Source organism: Homo sapiens, chromosome X, assembly GCF_000001405.40.
Source record: "Homo sapiens chromosome X, GRCh38.p14 Primary Assembly".
In the NCBI taxonomy this organism is placed as follows: Eukaryota; Metazoa; Chordata; class Mammalia; order Primates; family Hominidae; genus Homo; species Homo sapiens.
This window is the reverse complement of record NC_000023.11, coordinates 149,878,658-149,898,661: the sequence shown is the minus strand read 5'-3', so window position 1 is coordinate 149,898,661 and position 20,004 is coordinate 149,878,658. Positions and strand designations below refer to the sequence as shown.

Sequence of the window (20,004 nt, the reverse complement as noted above, 5' to 3'; positions counted from 1 at the left end):
CCCTTGAAGACACAAAAGGCTGGATGGTGTTGTAATTGGATATTTCCCTTCCCACAGGTTGGTTAAAGTCTAGAAAAAACCCAGCAAGTTAGACTCTGGAAAAATAGTTTCTCTTGAGTTCAGGCCTTGGTAAGAAGAACAGAACACTCTGGGCATATTTTCTAATTAATTCTTTCCAAACTCCTTACAGGAAGTAGGAAGAGATTTTTCCCTGGTCTTCACTGAGAAAACCTGACAGGGCTCCTAGAGAGAAGATGTTGGAAACAGTGGTAGTCCCCTTAACATGGTTCCCCCAAGAGCTCTCAAACTTGCCAATAGTGAGCCTCCAGCCATTCATCTCGTAGAGATGAGGTTTTCCCATCTTGATACTTGTTCTTGGGTATTCAGCTCCTGGACTTCTTATCTCCAAGGTGTGACTGTATTTTGCCTGTTTCTTTAGCTTTGGTCTGGTAGTTTGCCCTGTGGTCTCAGTTCTCTAAGCAAATCTGAGAAAAGTTTTTTTTTTTTTTTCAATTTATTCAGCTTTTTACTTGTTTGTGTCAATGGAAGAGACACTTCAAGTTTCTTATAGGCTGAACTGGAAAAAAGAATGGACAATAAACATTGGAAAACATATTTTAAAATATCAGTTTTAATAGATTAAAAAATAAAATGCTTTGCTATATAACCAATAAAATAAGTCCCTATCTGTGTGGAGAAATGACAAAATGCTAATGAAGACAATTCAAAGAGGTCCAAGTAAATATATGAACATATTATCTTCATGGACTGCAAGACTCAGTGGAGATGTGTGACCTATACCAAAGCTATCTGTAGATTCAAAGTCAATGCTGTCAAACTACTAGCAGGAATTTTTGTACATGTAGACAAGCTGACTCAAAAAGTGTATGGAAAGGCAAAGGATCTGGAATAGTTAAAACAATTTTGAAACAAAAACCAGAAAATCATGGTGGAATCATACTGCTCAATTTTAAGATGTAATATAAACCTACAGTAATCAAAACAGTATGGAATTGGCTAATGGATACACATATAGATTAATGGAATAGAATGGAGAGTCCTTGAATAGACCCACACAAATATGGCCAATGGAGATTTTTAGAAAGGAGTAAAGACAATTCATTATAAAAATGTTAGGCTTTTCAATCAGTGATATTGGAACAATTGAATATCCATATGTTATTAACAAAAAAACTTCACCAAAATTTCACACTTTAGACAAAAATTAACTCACAGTGGATCATAGATTCAAATGTTATACAAAAAACTATAACGCTTTTAAAGAAAATATAGGAGGAAATACTGATGACCTGAAATCAGGCAAAGAGGTCTTAATCATGACACCAAAAGCGTGATTCATAAAGGAAAAAGTGATAAATTGGATTCCTCAAAATTAAAACTTTTACTTTGGGAAATACATGGATCAGAGAATAAAAAGTCAAATGTGGAGTTACACAAATATATGCAAATTGTATGCCAAACAAAAGTCTTTTATGCAGAATATATAAAGAGTCCTAAAGTTTCAGAAATGAGAAAATGTGTCAAAAGACAAAATTACACCAAATTTGGTTCAAAAATCTAATTAGCTTTCATTTGCAATTCTATAGTGAACAACTTCTCATTCTATTTAAATAGAATAGGTGCTCCAATGAGCTGAACATAACATGTTGGCTTTACATACAGAGCAGGGCTGAGAAATGTACAAACAAGTCTTCAGCCTGGGCCCCATTCCCAGGTAAGTAGCTGAATTGGGGTTTTGTCTTGGAAATTTTCCGTAATGGCTAAAAGTTAAGATTAGCAAGTAGCTGGTCTTAATTTCTACTTACCAATAGAGTACTCGGTAATCCTGTGCTATCTTTTGTTTTGCTTAACTGCCTTTCTGTTTTTCAGTTTGTTTTTTTTACTGTTGTTTTTGCTGTTTTAGTCTTTTTCCCAATGGATTTGGCCAACTCTACTGGACTTGGTCAAATCCAAAGGAAAGTTCCAAATTATGGGGAACAAAGTCTCTGAATTGGCTAAAATCATGCAGCTGAAAAAAAAGAAAGAATTTGATTACCTTAGGTGCATTATTTACATAACAAGGCCACCTTTTAGTAGCCAAGCCAAATTGAAAGAGCAATGGCTGTAGTTCAGTAGCTAAGATTCTGCTCTTTTTTCACATGACAGCCTCGGTTTGGTTCCTAAATCAAGTCCTTTCTGGTTTGATATTTTTGTTACATTTGAACTATCAGCAGTTTATCCCAGCCAAAATATGGTAATGAGATTTAACGAATTTTTTTAAGAGCACAATTATTATGTCAGCTTAATTAAAAGCTAAGATCCAAGATGTATATGTGTGTGTGCCTCTGTGTGTGTGTGTGCCTCTGTGTGTGTGTGTGTGTGTGTGTGTGTATGTGTATGTTCAGAACAGGGATCTCTGAGAAAAACAGAAACAAAAATTTAAAAAGGTAAATATATATGTATACACATACACCTACATATATATTATATATGTGTGTGTGTGTGTGTGTGTGTGTGTGTGTATGTATATATTGAAAAGGCCTTTATGCTTTCTTTCTCTTCTAGAATATTATTTTTTGAGAAAAAGCGTTTTTTACCATTCTCAGTCAACGGAATTCTGTTTTCTCCATTTACTTCTGCCAGTCTCTTTCTTCTTGCCACCGTCTGCTGCATGAGGGGCCTTAAATAATTTCAGGGTCTGTGAAATTAGATTTTTTTCTAATTTCAGAAGCGCTCATTAGAGCTCTTTAGATTTAATTTTTATATATTTAATTATATATTTATATATTGATTTATAATCTATATAATTTAATTTTATATATGTAATTGGCTTACAGACAAAAAAATCACTTAAATCAAATACTTTATCAGAAAAATAGGAGCCCAAATGCTTTTATAAGCTTACTTAAGTAAATCCTTAATAAATAAGTTGGTTTTAAAATTATTGGTAAAATAAAATTAGAAATTTCTTCAGAATGGTCAACATACATTATTGTTGGATTCATTGGTCTAGTAGTTTAATATTTAATATCTGTTAGGTGTTATAAGTTGTCAAAATTTCGCAGGAGAATTGTAAAGCTTGCAGCCCACAAGAGAATTATTTTTGTATAGTTTTTTATAAATAAGGCACTGAATATTGTTGAGTTTAATGGGAACAGCTAAATCTTGAATATTGGCAAAATATACCATTTTTTTAACCTTAAGATTCTTACTGAGGTAAATACCTGAAATGCACGTGCTATAAAATGGTTAATAGGGATATAACTTTAAATGATGACTATCACAATTTTCATAAACAATCTAGTTAAACGATTGAAAAATACAATTAATTAATTGATTAGGAAAATGTAATGAAATAAATGCTTGCAAATAAACCTCACATAGTTTAGAATCTAAAGTTGTATTGAGTTAAATAATAGATATTCATTAAATGGATCATTTCCAATTTCTTTAAAAAAATTATGGGGAAACATTTTTCATAAAAAATGTGTTCTTATTTAAAGGGAAATAAGTTTAGTCTAAATTTAAATGTTATTTAATGGTTATTTTTGAAACAAGGTAAAAGGAACCAGTAAATAAGAGAGATGTAAAGAAAGTTATAGATATAATAAGATATTTTGGTAAGAAAGGCTAAAAGGAGACTAATTTTATATAAAATGAATCTTGCATGGTAAATTTTTTGCCCTAAAATAAAATGACTGGTTATTTAAGAAAAAGGTTGTTTAGGATACAACAGGAGGTCCAAGAATGTTGTAAATGGTTTCTCTAAGCCATAATAAAGTTTGTAAAAAGAGCATTCATAAGACAGAAACTTTATGTGATCAAGTTGGCTATAACTAAAAAGAAATTATTTATAATTGTCTTTCTAGAGATTGGGTATTGATAAGGAAAAAACACTAAAACACTAAGGAATTGGTTAGAACAACAACATTTTTAAGGTATTGATTTATTATTAATAAAATTACAAGGGATTTTAATTTTTTAACTCAAAAGCTCAACTGTTATTGCATCTCACTGTTTTCAGCTTTCTCTCCCCTTTGAAAAGGGCTGAGATAATAACTGTCTCCTTTAACTTTTTCGTCAGCTCCTGTAACCTTTTTCCTCAGGTTTTAACTGCTGTTGTGGACTGATGCTGAAAGTGTTTCATTTTAAAGGTCTAAAGGAAATGTTTTCTTCCAGTATGATATTCTGTGCTCTTGGCTTTAAATTCTATGAAACTAAGAATTTTCACTTATGACCCAGGACACACTCTACCTATTTCTAAGTACTATTTTCATTAGTTCTGACTTGCAGGTTATCTAAAAGGACTCCCCATAGGAAAAGCATTCACACTGCAGAAGGTTGTTTTTTGTTTTTTTTTTAACTTTTGGTAAGTGGCCTAACAAACAAATTTTACATTTTATCAAAATAATTCCTATGTCATTGTTACTATGTTTTGATTTCCTCAGGAAAACTGAGATAAAAAATTAAGATTATTACATCCATGTAAGTTTCTGTATTTCTTTTTTTTTTTTTTTTTTTGAGGCGAGGTCTCGTTCTATCGCCAGTCTGGAGTGCAGTGGCGATCTTGGCTCACTGCAACCTCCGACTCCTGGGTTCAAGCGATTCTCCTGCCTCAGCCTCCTGAGTAGCTGGGATTACAGTTGCCTGCCACCACGCCCAGCTAATTTTTTTTGTATTTTTAGTAGAGACGGAGTTTCACCGTGTTAGCCAGGATGGTCTCGATCTCCTGACCTCGTGATCCGCTCGCCTCGGCCTCCCAAAGTGCTGGGATTACAGGCGTGAGCCACCATGCCCGGCCAGTTTCTATATCTCTTTTAAAGTCCTAGTGCTATTAAGTTACAGGGCTTTGATTCCTGGGACTAAAAAGGATGCCAAGTCCTGCTAAAAGCAAAAGATGAGGAGAGGAAGGAGCCCAGGGAACGAGAGCACAGGATGAACCCAAGTTCACTTTGATTATGTGGCAGTCAGCACCAGTGTTTCCATTCTGTTTTGGTCTGTTTTTCTGGGACCTGGGGATAGACCTTAGTCCAAAACAATGCCTCTTAAGAATTCATTTAACACAAACAACCAAATTTTGTAAATGGGCAAAAAACATCAATAGACACTTCCCCTAAGTGGACATACACATGACAAATAAGCACATGAAAAAGTACTGTCCATCTCATCTATTAGAGAAATGAGAATTAAACCATGATGAGATAGCATAACACATATTTGAAAATGATTTTTTTTTTTTTTTTTTTTGAGACGGAGTCTTTTTTTGAGATGGAGTCTTGCTCTTGTCGCCCAGGCTGGAGTGCAGTGGCACAATCTCGGCTCATTGCAACCTACACCTCCCGGATTCAAGCTTCCCCTGCCTCAGCCTCCTGAATCTGGGATTACAGGCACCTGCCACCACGCCCGGCTAATTTTTGTACTTTTAGTAGAGATGGGGTTTCGCCATTTTGCCCAGTCTGGTCTCAAACTCCTGACCTCAGGTGATCTGCCTGCCTCGGCCTCCCAAACTGCTGGGATTACAGGTGTGAGCCACTGCACCTGGCTGAAAATGACTGAATTAAAAAAAAAAAAAAGATATTACTAAGTGCTAGCAAGGATGAAGAAAATCTTGTATGTTGCTAGTGGGAATTGTGAAATGGTACAACCACTGTGGAAAATGATTTGGTAATTTTTTTTTCTAGTTTTGCAGTTTGTACTGCATTTATTGTTTAAAAACCTTTTATTTAATTATTTTTTGTTTCTTCCCAACTTTTATTTTTGCTTTAGGGGTACATGTTCGTGTTCATTACATGGGTAAATTGCATGTCATGGGGGTTTGGTGCATCGATTTTATATCACTCAGGTAATAAGCATAGTACCACATAGGTAGTTTTCTTTGTTTTTGATTCAGAGTCTCACTCTCTTACCCAGGCTGTAGTGCAGTGACATGATCTCGGCTTATTGCAACCTCTGGGTTCAAGCAATTCTCGTGCCTCAGCCTCTCGAATAGCTGGGATTACAGGCATGCATCACCACGCCTGGCTAATTTTTGTATTTTTAGTAGAGATGGGATTTCACCATGCTGGCCAGGCTGGTCTCGAGCTCCTGACCTCAAGTGATCCACCCACCTTAGCCTCCCAAAGTCCTGGGATTACAGGCATAAGCCACTGTGCCCGGCCAAGAAAGGTAGGTACTCCCATCTCTACCCTTAAGTAGGCCCCAGTGTTTCTTTTTCCCTCCTTTGTGTCCGTGTATACTCAATGTTTAGCTTCCACTTACAAGTGAAGACATGTGGTATTTGGTTTTCTGTTCTGCATTAATTTGCTTAGGATAATGGCTTCCAGTTGTATCGTTATTGCTGCAGAGGGCATTATTTCTTTCTTTTAATGATGCATAATAGTCCATGGTGTATGTATACCACATTTTCTTTATCCAGTCTACCATTGACAGGGATCAAGGTTGATTGCATGCCTTTGTTATTGTGGATAGCGCTGTGATGAACATTTGTGTGCATGTGTCTTTATGGTAGAACAATTTGTATTCCTTTGGGTACATACCCAGTAATGGGATTGCTGAGTGAATTAGTAGCTCTGGTTTAAGTTCTTGGAGAAATTTCCAAACTACTTTCCACAATGGCTGAAGTAATTTACATTCCCACAAGCAGTGTATAAATGTTCCCTTTCATCACAACCTTAGCAGCATCTGTTATTTTTTGACTTTTTAATAGTAGCCATTCTGACTGTTGTATAATCTCATTGTGGTTTTGATTTGCATTTCTGTAATATTAGCAAGGTTGGACACTTTTTCATATGCTTGTTGGCCACTTGTATGTCTTCTTTTGAGAAATGCCTACTCTTGTCCTTTGCCCAATTTCAATGGGGTTGTTTGTTTTTTGCTTGTTAATTTGTTAATCTTCCTTAGAGATTGTGGATATTAGACTTTTGTTGGATGCATAGTTCGCAAATATTTTCTCCCATTCTGTAGCTTGTCTGTTTACTCTGTTTATAGTTTCTTTTGATATGCAAATTAGGTCTCATTTGTCAATTTTTGTTTTTGTTGCAATTGCTTTTGGAATCTGCATCATGAAATCTCTGCCAAGGCCTAGTTCCAGAATGGTATTTCTTAGGTTTCCTTCTAGGATTTTTATAGTTTTAGGTTTTTGAATTAAATCTTCAATCTAGTTTTAGTTGACAAATTAAAGATTAATCCATCTTGAGTTGAAACTGGAAGGGGTCCAATTTAAATCTTCTGCCTATGGCTAGCCACTTATTCCAGCACCATTTATTAAATAGGGAGTCATTTCCTCATTGCTTGTTTTTATCAATTTTGTTGAATGTCAGATGGTTGTATGTGTGTGGCTTTATTTCTGGGTTCTCTAACCTGTTTCATTGGTCTATGTGTCTGTTTTTCTACCAATATCATGCTGTTTTGGTTAGTGTAGCTTTATAATACAGTTTAGAGTTGACTAGTGTGATGCCTGTGGCTGTGCTCTTTTTCCTTAGGATTGCTGTGGCTATTTACATTCTTTTTTTGGTTCTGTATGAACTGTAGAATATTTTTTTTCTAATTATATGAAAGATGTCATTGGTAGTTTGATAGAAATAGCATTAAATCAGTGACACATATACACCATGGAATACTATGCAGCCATAAAAAAGATGAGTTCATGTCCTTTGTAGGGACATGGGTGAAGCTGGAAACCATCATTCTGAGCAAACTATTGCAAGGACAGAAAACCAAACACCGCACATTCTCACTCATAGGTGGGAATTGAACAATGAGAACACTTGGACACAGGGTGGGGAACATCACACACCGGGGCCTGTCATGGGGTGGGGGCAGTGGGGAGGGATAGCATTAGGAGATATACCTAATGTAAATGACGAGTTAACGGGTGTAGCACACCAACGTGACACATGTATACATATGTAACAAACCTGCACGTTGTGCACATGTACCCTAGAACTTAAAGTATAATCAAAAAATAATAATAATAATAATAAATAAATAATAAAAAGAAAGAAATTATAAAAATAAAAAAATTTTAAAAATCAGTAAATTGCTTTAGGCAGTATGGCCATTTTAACAATATTGATTCTTCCTATCCATGAGCATGGAGTATTTTTCCATTAGTCTGTGTTAACTCCAATTTCTTTCAGCAGTGTTTTGTCATTCTTATTGTAGAGATCTTTCACTTCTCTGATTAGTTGTATTCCTAGGTATTTTATAATTTCATGGCTGTTGTGAATGGGATTTTGTTTTTTATTTGGCTCTCTTTGTGAATGCTGTTGACGTATAGAAATACTACTGATTTTTGTACATTGATTTTGTATCTTGAAACTTTGCTGAGGTTATTTATCTGATCTAGGAGCTTCTGGGCACAGACTATGAGGTTTCGTTGGCATAAAACTATATCATCTGCTAAGAGAGATAATTTGACTTCCTCTCTTCCTATTTGGATGCCTTTTGTATCTTTTTGTTGCCTGATTGCTCTGACTAGGAATTCTAGTACCATGTGGAGTAGCAGTGGTGGGAGTGTGGATCTTTGTCTTGTTCCAGTTCTCATGGGGAATGCTTCCAGCTTTTGGCCATTCAATATGATGTTGGCTGTGCGTTTTTCATAGATGGCTCATATTATTTTGAGGTATGTTCTTTCCATGCCTAGTTGGTTGAAAGCATTTTCCAATGTGGACATATACATGACAAATAAGCACATGAAAAATTATTCTACATCACAGCTATTAGAGAAATGCATATTAAACCATAATGAGATATGGTAACATATATTTGAAAAAGATATTTAAAAGACATGGCCTGGCACTGTGACTCAATGCCTGTAATTCCAGCACTTTGGGAGGCTGAGGCGGGCGGATCACTTGAGGCCAGTAGATTGAGACCAGCCTGGCCAACATGGTGAAACTCCATCTCTACTAAAAATAAAAAATAAAAAAAATTAGCCAGGCGTGGTGGTGCACGCCTGTAATTTCAGCTACTTCGGTGGCTAAGGCAGGAGACTCGCTTGAACCCAGGAGGCAGAGGCTGCAGTGAGCTGAGATCACACCACTGCACTCCAGCCTGGGCAACAGAGTGAGACTCTCTCTCAAAAAAAAAAAAACGACAACGACAACAACAACAAAAAACCATTACTAAGTGCTACCAAAGATGAAGAACAATTTTAAATCTGATATGTTGCTAGTAGGAATTATGAAATAGTACAACCATTGTGGAAAATGATTTGATGGTGGTGGCTCCCTAAATCTACACATGGGCTAAGGCCACAGAACAGGACACATAAAGAAAACAAAATTACTGTTAATTTAAATAATGAAATTAAAAATTAAAAAAAGAAAGTTGGAGTGATTACATTGAGTAAACTTTTAAAAACTTTATAGGAAGGAAAATTACCATGGATAAATAGGGACATTATGCAATGATAAAAGAGTTAATTAAGAAAGAAGACATAATAATCCTGTTAATTCACCTAAAAGCATTATTTCAAAATACACGAAACAATTTCTGATAGAACTGAAAGGATAAATAGTCCAATCTACACTTGCATTTGGAGATTGCAAAACTCTTCTCTGAGTAAATGACTGAAGTAGACAAACTCTGCAAGGTTATAGAAGAAACTGACAACACAAAGAACCAACTTGATCTGAGTGGCCTTTACTGGACACTCCACAGAATAAGAGCAGAATGTATAATATTTTCAAGTGTGTGTGGAATTTTTACCAAGATAGACCATTAAACAACCCATAAAAAATTTAAAACAACCGAAATTGTACAAAGTATATTTTAAAAATCTATAATGCAATAAAATGTAAATATAACAAAGGACATACCTATAAAGTCCCCAAGTATTTTTAAATAAACAACACATTGTTACTACTCTATATTTAAAAAAATTCTTGAGGAAAACTAGAAAATATTTTCTGATAAATAAAAATGGAAATATGATGTTTTAAAATTTGTGGAATTCGGTTAAGGTAGTGCCTATGGAAACGTTTATGTCCTTAAATGCTTACATTAGAAAGTAACAGAGGGCTCAAATAAAACATCTAAAATTTGCTCTTAAATAACGAGTAGAGGGAAAGTACATTAAAACTAAGGCAAAGAAAGAGATGGGGTGGTATAGATAGGAAGAGAAAAATTAATGAAATTAAAATTTCAGGAATTTCAGGGAAACAATAAATGAACTTTATAAAACCAATAGTTAGCTTTTTTGATAGATCAGACAAGTCCTAGTGTCTGATGTCAATCTGAGAAATTTAAAAAAATATTGTTGTTGAGAAGCATTGGCTTTGAACACAGCTAGAAATAAAGCCAACTACATACAAACTATAATTTGTCTTGATAACTACACCCTTAATTTATCAGAGAAGTTTCTGAGAAGACCAGCTTTTGTTTGAATTTCTCTTAATTTGTAAGGGACTGCTATGTGTCAGAAGCTTTCAAATGCATTAACCCATCTAATTTGAAGATAATCCTGTAAGGTCAGCTGGGTGAGTTCACCTTCTTCACTCCATAGCATTTTCTGCACTTCCTTTTGCAACACCATCTGTCACCTCAGTAGGCTGAGGATTTCCTCTTTCCATCTGATGCAGGAATAGAATCTTACCCACCTTCTCTGCTACCCTCCACATGATTTGTTCTTGTCTGAACACCTGTATAGGTGCCACTAGTCACACTGAAAGCCAGTATGTTCCTGGGGGCAGATGCCAGACAGAAGGCAGTGGAAGGCTGGTTCTTTTCAAATTCCAGCTGGCATGTTCACCAAGGAACAGTTTCTTATGTCCTAGGAGGAGCCCAGGATTTGTAAGAACTCAGCTTCAGGAGATGGCTGCTCTTCTTCTACCTTTTATGAAGGAATGGGATTCCTGAGCACCATCCATTTGCCTGTTCAGTCCCCAGCTTCAGACAAGAAGCTCATTAAAAATCCTTCTGCAAATATGCTAGTGGCTTAGACAAACTACTCTCTACATTCAGTGCTGTATCCCAAGAATCAAGAGATTATGGGCAAAGCAGACTCCACTCACACCCCATTGGGAAAACAAAGAGTATTTAGAGGACTCCCAGGGAGAGAGGACGAGGTGTCTAAAGTCACAGTCCAGAATGGCTGTGGCTATGGGACAGGACTGAGGGTGCGTGGTGGAAAAGTCAGGGAACTTTTGCAGGGCTAGGAATGTTCCACGTCCTGGGGAGGGCAGGTGATTCTGTGCAGCCTCCAGAGGTAGCAGGGAAGAGCAAGCAGCGGGCTAGGTTCCCAGAGGTGGAACAGAGGGTACATGAGGGGGACCAGATGAAGGGTGTTGTAACTCAGGAAAGTGTTGGAGCCAGACAGAAATGCTGGCTAGGAGTGTACTTGCCCCATGTGCTGAAGGAGAGAATCCAATATGTGGATGAGCACTTGTAGGCTTTCCCATAACGTGTTTCATAGTAGGTGCTCAACAGAAAGCACCCAACAGTCAGCTCCCAGGGGAACCATCATGCCCCTAATGCTGTTTGATTCTCATTGTCACCTTCTTTTGGCCTGCTTTTACTACCTTGGCCTGAGGGTCCTTCTTTTTGTCACCTGAGAGACATGATGCAGTGCTGAGAAATGAACTACTTACTATTCAGGAGGTGGGCCTCAGGCTGGCAGGAATGGGAAGAGCATGAGCTCCAGAGGAATCACACTAGAGATCTGGTTCCAGCCCTATTACTAGCCATGTTATCCTGGGAAATGCCCAAGCCCTGTGAGCCTTGGGTTCTTCATCTGTGAAGCAGGTGTGATAAGCCCTGTTCAACAGCACTGTTGGAGTGTATGCAATGTAAATGATGCACCTGGCTCAGGGCCTGGTGTAATTTAGAAGTTTAAAGAATGGCAGATGACTATATTTCTACTATTTGACCCCAGGCCCTAGCACTCTGAGATTTTGTTCTTGTTGATTTCTCCAGGACTTATCAGAAAATATGCAGCTTATTAGGACCTGGAAGAATTACTTAGCCAAAAAAAGAAGTTTTGTCAATGAATTTCAGTAAGTTTACCCACTCAGAGGGTATACTTCAAAATTTCAGTGTGCAGGGGTCTTCCTCAACTGGAATGCAACTCAGAGCTCCTAGAATATGAGTCAAGAATAAACTCCTTCCCTCTCAGCTTCTTTTCCATCTAAACCACTATTTTCATTCATTATATCACCACCCCAAATCTTTTCCCTTGTTTTAACTGGCCAAATTGCACTTCAGATAAGCTAGTTAGAATGTCTCTTTAATAGAGTCAGCTCTGGCTCACACAACCAGGAAGAAAAACACCTGGCCAGTGGCATCTGAGCCTCACATCCCAGGAGATTCACGCTTCTCTCTAAGGAAACCCTTCCGGATGATGGGTATCCATCATCAACTTCGTGTGCCGTGTTCAACTGCACTGAGACAAGAGTGCAGGACACCTCCCATTCCTGCCCCAGGAGGAGATGCCTCTCTGTTTCATCCACCATCCAAAAGGAACTGCTGAGCATGTTTCCCTTCCAAGCTTTTCTCTCGTCCTCTGAGAATCTGGCTCTGGCCCCACCCCGCTTCATTAGAATCAGCTCGCCCAAAAGGTACTGCAGTTTCCCAAAGCCCAAAAGGCCTTGGTTCAGGGCATGTACACTCCACCACTTCCTGTTGCTCCACACGCTCATCCCTCTCTTATTTTTCCTTTAGATCTTAGAGGATACCTGGCCACCTTAGTTATGTGGCTGCAGATACTAGACTCTACCACCCTAAGGTCAGGGGTGGGCCTGGCTTACTGTAGCATCTCCAATACTAACCCAGGGCCTTCCAAATAGCGGAAGCTCAATGAATATTTTGGGAAAAAATGAGCCAGTGAGCAGGGGGACTTATTTATTCATATTTAATTCAATTTCATTCTCAAAGAAGCCAAGCAAATTCAGGTACATAGGGTACACTAAGAGGTACAGGTAAGGCAAGAATTAACTATTGTTTAATTTCTTTATGTCTTTATCTCATGTATTTTACTGCTATGTTGTTTCACATTTCTAAAAAAACCTTAATCCTCTGCTCTTGTAGTGTCTGAATTCAAGAAATAACATGGGTTTCCCAGTATAAATGAAAAGCAAGACTCTTACTCCTAAACTATATAAAAAGCAGTAAGTCTGTCTACTGTCATACATAAAATGAATGTTGAAGTTCATTACACCATCCATTAGAAGGAACATTGGAACAATTCCAAAAGGAAACAAAGATAAACCTCCAAATCGCCCAATAGAACAGGAACTGAGAGATGGTCCACACTGTGTTCCCTCACACCCAACATGCTCCCCACTACTGAGAACTGTGACTGCTCTCTTCAAACACAGAGTGAAGAATGGGCCTCATGTAACAGAGCAGGGAAAGTGGTGGATGTGGCCCTGGAACGTGCACTGGCCCAGGCCCTCCCACAACCTGCCCCACTGGCCCTAGCTGCAACTCCTGCTCAAACTCCTTTCTCCTCTCCCAAAGCCTCTTCATGCAGGGATGGGTAGGAAATGCGAACTCTTGCATTGACCCTGACCACATGCTCCAGGACTTTCACATAGCTGGTTTCAGCAAGGGCCCTTGGACCCCACAGGAACTCGTAGCGCACAGGATCACTGCCGGGCGCCTGGCGGTACTCCAGGTAGTTCTCCTGCACCCACTCTTGGGTGAGCAGCTTCCTGAGCTTCCAATAGACACTGTGCTCCCTCCCATCATACAGCCCCATCACACTCAACGCTTCCCAGATTGCCTCCTCCGGGGCGCGGCTGCCCTCCATTAAGATCATGCCCAGGACGATTATCAGGAGGCCGGTCTTGGGCGTACTCTGATCATCACCCAGCAGGCCATCATAGGAGAGGCCCAGGCAGGTGACAAGGATGTAGGAGTGGCCGGCAGGGTCCACTTCCTTCACATCAATGCCAAAGATCACCTGCATGCACTCAGAGGCTTTGCTGAAGATATCAGGAAAGTGGTTCTTGTAATTTTTGATGACACTCTCAAGCATTTCTGCCTTTGTGACCGGCTCCTTAATTTGATATTTGCGGAGCAGGAAACGAACTAACTCAGCCACTTTCTCATCAAGTGCTTCCCGGAACAGGGACTCCAGGTGAGCTGGGTCCGGGGAGGTGCTTGGCCCCTCCTCTTCATTGCTGCTGGAACCCTCATCGGATTGGCTCCACAGAGTGCTGTCGGTGACAGTCAGGGAAGAGGAGGCACCCTCAGGACTCTGGGGAGGACTTGGTGACCCAGAATCAGTCACCTCCTCAAGGGTTCCCATGATCAGAGTAGAGGAGGAGGATGCAGCCTTCTGCTCCTCAGCTGTGGGAATCTGCACATCCATAAGCCCTGGTGCCTCTCCTTGGGCCTGAAGGCCTTCCTCAGCCTTGTAGCGCTGACTCTTCTGCCCAAGAAGCATGATGACTCAGGTCAGGGCAGCAGGAGAGTGTGGGCCGGAGCTGGGCAATTGAGACCCACAGGCCTGGGGAGAGAGGAAGCGTGTGAGAGGCCTCAGCTGGGTACTACACCCTGGATGCCCTAACAAAGGTCTACTTACAGGTCTTCTTCAGTGCTTCTCTGGGGCCTCCTGACCTCCTGGCTGGCCTGTTCTCTGCGAACCTGAAGGAGAAATTGAGAGGGCATCTCAGGGTGCAGCCTCCTGGCAAAGGCCAAGGCTCCAGGACTGACAAAAGGGCTGGTAGGGCCAGGAACTGTGGGGTTCCTGCTGTTCTGATGCCAGAGGGGCCTCTGGTATACATACAGGGGAAACACCACCTCAGCTTGACTGCTACTACTGCCTGGGCCTCTTATGCTCTGTGATTGAAGATACTGCCTCAGACCAAGACCTCACAGCCTGGTTCCTGGAGCTCCTAGAAGATAAATCGAGGGGAACTCAGGCTGCAGACTGCAAGCACAGCCCCAGCACCCCAGTGCTGTCAGGAGGGTGAGCCTGACTCTGTGAGCTCCCCACTATTTTGTGTGGATGGTCCTTTCTGTGCTCATTCAGGGCCCTCATCTTTCTCCTGGCAGGGCCTGGATCTGGCCCTTTTGCTGGCCTGAGAAACTTTCAGATCAAGAGTTTATATCCCTGATATGGAAGACAAGGATATGAAGGGACCCACATCTGGCCCCACATGCCCAAGGCCTCCTGGGAAAAAAGCAATAGCTACACAAAATGCAATGGGGCCCACGTGTCCTGTCCTAGGGTGAGAAAAAAGCAATAGCTACACAAAATACATTGGGGCCCATGTGTCCTGGGCTGACCTGAGGCCACTTCCTTAATCCAAGGACCTATCTCCAGGAGACACTGGAAGAGCAAATGAGGGGATTCCATCCACCCACCTTTCCCTGCACTTCCCATGGCTGACAGAAGGTGCAGGGTGGGGTTCGGTCCTGTGTGTTTGGTGAGTGGTGTCCTCTGAGTCCCTGACTCCTGGCAGGGCCTTGGACCCCCGCTCTGCTGACCTGAATGCAGTGCCCTCAGACCAAGGCCTTCTTCTCCCTGAGACCAATGAGTCTGGTATAACACAGGGGCCTCAGCTGATAGTCCTGCTCATGCTCTCAGGGGTGACAAAAGAGGCCGGGCAGATTTCTGTTGGGCCCCCATCTGTTTTTTGCCTGCTAGGAGAACCATCGAGGGTACCCTCAATCTTCCCTCAGTGTTGTCACCTAGACTCTTGGTAGATTCTTGGACCACTGAGTCTGTTGCCCACATGGGGGTCCCTGTTTTGTCCTGAGTTGCCCTCTGAGAACAAGGTCCTCACTTCCCTGAGATCTCAAGAGAGAAATGAGGAGCCACCACATCTGATGACCACTGGGTGGGGTGTCCAGGGGTGACACTAGGATCTGTCCCTACTTGTTCTTGAGTGGTGGGTTCTAAGGTCTTCAGGGGGTTATTCATCTTTCCCCTGATGGAGCCCGCCCTTCCTCAACCCACAACACCCTGATATGAGCAGACATCTCCCCTTACCACCAAGACCTTATCTTCCTGCGTTTCCCCAACTTCCTGCCCACAGTACAGATGAGATCTCCACTTAGGGCCACCCTTGATCGGGTTCCCCCAGAGATAATAACCAAAGTTAGCCAGACTTTGTGGGGTCCCTTCTTTCCAGGCCAGGAGTACCCCCATTCATCACAAAGTGAGCACATCTTGGGTCCTGCAGATCCTGTGACCCCGTCCCTCTGTTGAACAGGTGTGGCTCCCTCTGCTGAGCTGAGGACGCCCTTCAGACCCAGGTTGCTACCTCCCTGAGACCCAGGAGGCAGAAGTAAGGAGGCACTACATGGACAACCCTGCATGGGATTCCCACGGCTGACAGAAGTAGTAGGTTTCATGGGGTCTTTCTCTGTCTGGGTGTCATCCAGGTATTCATATTTACTCCACGACAAGGCATGGCCCTTTCCTTCCTGCTGAACCGTGGATGTGTCTTGCATGCCAAGGCCACCATCTCCTTGAGGCCCCCTACCAGAAAGTGGGGGGGCCACATCCCTTCCCCACTGTCCTGCCTTGGGTGCCCAGACCTGAGAGTGGGAGCAGGTTTCCTAGGCCATGATGGGAGGTCTGCTGAGTCCTCCTTAAGGGCTCTGGGGCACCTCTCTCCAGTGATCTGAGACTCCACTCCTCAGACCACAGCTGTCTCCTTTCTGACACCCTGAAAATGCAGCAAGGATGCGCCACATGCAGCCACAGATCCTGGGACTTCCCAAGGCTGAGATCTCCACTGATCTGGAGTCCAAGGACCCCTGAGTCCTCCCTCTTCTTCTTCTCCTTGACTCCTGGCAGGGCTGTTCACCACCCCCCTGCTGACTTGAGTTTCAGTCCCTCGGATTCCTGAGGCCAAATGTGGAGGCCCCTCAGTCTCAGACAGGTAGGGTGGGCCCCCTGTCCTGGGGTCCTGGGTCCCCTCGGGCCTCCTCATCTCCCAGCATAGCCTGGGCCCTCCCTCTGCTCCTCTTGAGTCCGTGCTCATGAAGCCCCTTTGCTGCATCAGCCCCGGATGCGGACGTCAGAATCAGCGAGCCCGGCCGCCATGCCCGGCCGCCATGCCCGGCCGCCATGCCCGGCCGCCATGCCCGGCCGCCATGCCCGGCCGCCATGCCTAGGGCTTCCCAGGGCTGACAGTAGGGGCAGAGATGTGCTCTGTGGAGCCTCAGCCCTCCCTCAGGGTCCTGCCCTTGATGCCTGGCAGAACCTGGGCCCTGCCCTCTGCTAACCAGCCCTGCTCTGGTCACACCAAGCTCTCACTCCAGATTCCCCTGGGGCTTAAGCGCAGGGCTGGCGAGGGGTGGCCCAGCCAGACAAGTCTGCCCCCTGGTGGTCCAGGGCTGGCAGCAGGGGCGGCGCTAGATTATTTTGGGTCCTATATGAGGGGTGGGGGCCTCCTCAGTCCTCCCTCAGGGTCTCACCTTGCCTCCTCACAGACCCTGAGCCCGCTTCCCTCAGCCGATCTCAAGCCGACCCCTCAGAACCAGGCCCTCGCTTCTCTCTGATCCCCGCGGCCACGTCAGTGGCGTCACATCCGTCCACCCAGGGCTCACCTGGGTGGACAACAGGGGCGGAACCGGATTCTAGTGGGGCGGGGGATGAGGGAGGAGCGGTTCAGTCATCCCTCAAGGTTCTCACTTTGAGATCTGGCAGAGCCTGGAGCTCCGTACTCTGCTGATGGTGTCTGCTTCCCTCAGACCAAGGTTCTGATTCCGAGTCCCCTGAGGTGGCAGTGGGGGGAAGGGTGTGGTGGGGGGACAAGGCTGCTGGGGTCTTTCAGGGCTGACATGAGGGTCTGAGCTGAATTATGTGGCCCCTCTATGTGGTGTGGGTGGACCCTCAGTCCTCACTCAGGAGGGTCCTCTTCTTGACTCTTGGCTCTTTTAGGAGATACTCTGTTTCTGTCACCTCTGAGCATTTGCACAGCTGCACCCCTTGCAGAGAATGGCTGCGGGTCCCAGGCCAGATTCTCCCTGTGGGTTTGCAGCACCTAAGATTGTAGTGACCTCTGGGAGAAGAGGCACACCTTCCCACGGGGGCTCTTCCCCAGCTAGAAGAGGATTTTGCAAAACTTTTGTACTAAATGATTTATTTTTACACTGAAGAAACTGAGTAGCTGCAATAAATTTGTGGAAGTCCTGAGTTTTGAAGTTACCTAACAATTCCTATTCCACTTTAGTGATTTTCATAATTTAATTCGCATTCGTATAGTAAGAAACGAATTTTAAATCTATGCCAATTGTATATGTGCATTATATTTATGTTTATATGCATAAACACATATGTATGTATATGTTTATATTATATATGTGTAATTATATGAATGTATGTGTATATATCTTTACATATATTTATACATATATGTATGTCGACTATACGTACTTATTTTATCAAACAATATCTACTCATACAATGTGTGATTCACTCATACTATTCTATTTCTAGTTCATTATATATATTTGATTAAAATAATAGTATTTTGGAAGGTAGTCCTAACCTACTCTTTGTTTCTAGTTGTTATTAGCAGAATTCTGGAGCCATGGTGTCTCAATCAATCCAATTTTCCTGGTGTCCTGATATTACCCCTGGGCTACTGGCTTCGTGTTTTGAGGTGCAGACTCGGATCCTACATTGATGTGGGGTGGTCCTTTAAAACTTTTCCTGCAACTCACCCTGTCGTCTGCAGTGGCTGCAGACCTCCTCAACCTCCCTGCCTCTCCAACTGCCCAGAACACAAGTACCAGTTCAACACAGTTTTTTCCCCAGGGTTTTCTATGTTTTGTTGTTTAGACTTTGTTGCTGATATTGTTGTTTTATTTTTCTTTTTCCCTTCTATATTTTTACACAGTTGATTTTGGGAGTAGAGCACAGCAGCCTGGGCTTGATTGTCACTTTGGCAGCTACAGGTAGGCATTAACTGTTTATTTAATTTAAGTAAGATTTACACCTTTGCTGTATTCTATTCCTCATCAGTGAACATCATATACTACTCCATTTATTTGGGAATTTTTTCTCTGAATCTGTCAGCAAACTTGTACAGTTGCTTCTGTAAATGTCTTGCATATTTTGGTTAGGCTTCTTCTTCTTTATATTTTGGATTTAAATGCTGTTGGGGATGGTATATTTTTCATTTTATGTTCTAAGTTGCTCATCTGTGACAAGTCTCTTGTATTCGCTGCAGTGGTCTTTGTATGCTGTCTTCTGAAGTCTCTTATTCATTTGAATGTTCCATGTGTCTCTTCCTTTGAATTTTCTTGATGGTCATATTGTGAAAAATATGATCTATTTCTTTTCAATCTTCATACCTCTTTTTCATCTTGATATCCATAGCTCTCTTTTTCATTTCAGCATTCACTGCAGCTGTGAACGGTAGCAGTGAAAGCATACATCAATGACTTGCTCCTGACGAGAATGGGAATGCTTCTAACATTTCACATTCAAGTATGTTTCCTGTCAGTTTTAGAAAATTAAAGTGCCTTTTAATCTTCATTTGCTAAAAATGTTAATTTGAAAATATGATAAAATTCATTTCAGAGGCTTTTTCTGTATTTTTATTCCTTGCATACGAGCTGCTTGTTCATTAGTCCACTGTTGTGTTGAATATACAATTATCTATTTAGGACATTTGCTGCAATATGAGTGAACACTTGGCTCATATGTTCTTTTTATAAAGGCTGGATGTCTTTATCTTTTTTTCCCCCCCAATGCAGGAGAAGGAGCCTTGGAGAATTCGTTGAATAATTGCCCGTATTTTGGGATTATTTGGAAGAGTTAATATGGTGATTCGTTTTCCCTGACCACTTGGGGGAACTGACCCACAAAACTGCCTGCCTTAGAACGGTAGAGGGTGGATTGAGCTTTAAATACATTTTCAGTTTGTGGACGTACCATTGGTTTTATCCATTCACCAATTGGAAAAAGTATTGATTGTCAATTTCAAATAAGCTGCTATATATGTTTTTGTGTACGTGATTTTGTGTGTATGAACCTGTTTCCAATTTTCCTTGATAAAACCTAGGAGTACAATTGCTGTGTGTAATGGTAAGTCT

General features: G+C 41.7%; 1 protein-coding gene and 2 long non-coding RNA genes across 5 annotated transcripts in view; 1 reads left to right on the top strand and 2 right to left on the bottom strand.

Annotated features, from left to right (window-relative positions):
• Window positions 1-1,655: 1,655 nt before the first annotated feature.
• On the top strand, window positions 1,656-19,899 carry MAGEA8-AS1 (MAGEA8 antisense RNA 1). Its single transcript, NR_102703.1, has 5 exons — window positions 1,656-1,735; window positions 16,164-16,294; window positions 18,804-18,861; window positions 19,304-19,396; window positions 19,666-19,899. It is a non-coding gene; the product is annotated as an MAGEA8 antisense RNA 1 (long non-coding RNA).
• MAGEA8 (MAGE family member A8) lies at window positions 12,837-17,479 on the bottom strand. 3 transcript variants are annotated; one of them, NM_001166400.2, is made up of 4 exons: window positions 17,377-17,479; window positions 15,313-15,591; window positions 14,528-14,589; window positions 12,837-14,452 (listed from the first exon to the last, which is right to left on the bottom strand). In NM_001166400.2, the coding sequence occupies exon 4, from the start codon at window positions 14,387-14,389 to the stop codon at window positions 13,433-13,435; it is 957 nt and encodes a 318-aa protein (NP_001159872.1). In that variant the 5' UTR covers window positions 14,390-14,452; window positions 14,528-14,589; window positions 15,313-15,591; window positions 17,377-17,479; the 3' UTR covers window positions 12,837-13,432. The 3 variants fall into 3 exon arrangements, with proteins under 3 accessions (NP_001159872.1, NP_001159873.1, NP_005355.2); NM_001166401.2 differs by lacking the exon at window positions 15,313-15,591 and having other exon boundaries at window positions 14,528-14,840; NM_005364.5 differs by lacking the exon at window positions 15,313-15,591.
• Window positions 18,863-20,004, bottom strand: part of LINC00850 (long intergenic non-protein coding RNA 850) — a 54,092-nt gene continuing 52,950 nt past the window's right edge. Inside the window, exon 3 of the long non-coding RNA NR_109813.1 lies at window positions 18,863-19,315. This is a non-coding gene — a long non-coding RNA (long intergenic non-protein coding RNA 850). The remainder of the gene's footprint in view (window positions 19,316-20,004) is intronic.

Excerpts from the sequence above, each read along its gene's own strand:
- MAGEA8 (NM_001166400.2), bottom strand. The coding sequence starts at position 14,389 with ATGCTTCTTGGGCAGAAGAGTCAGCGCTACAAGGCTGAGGAAGGCCTT.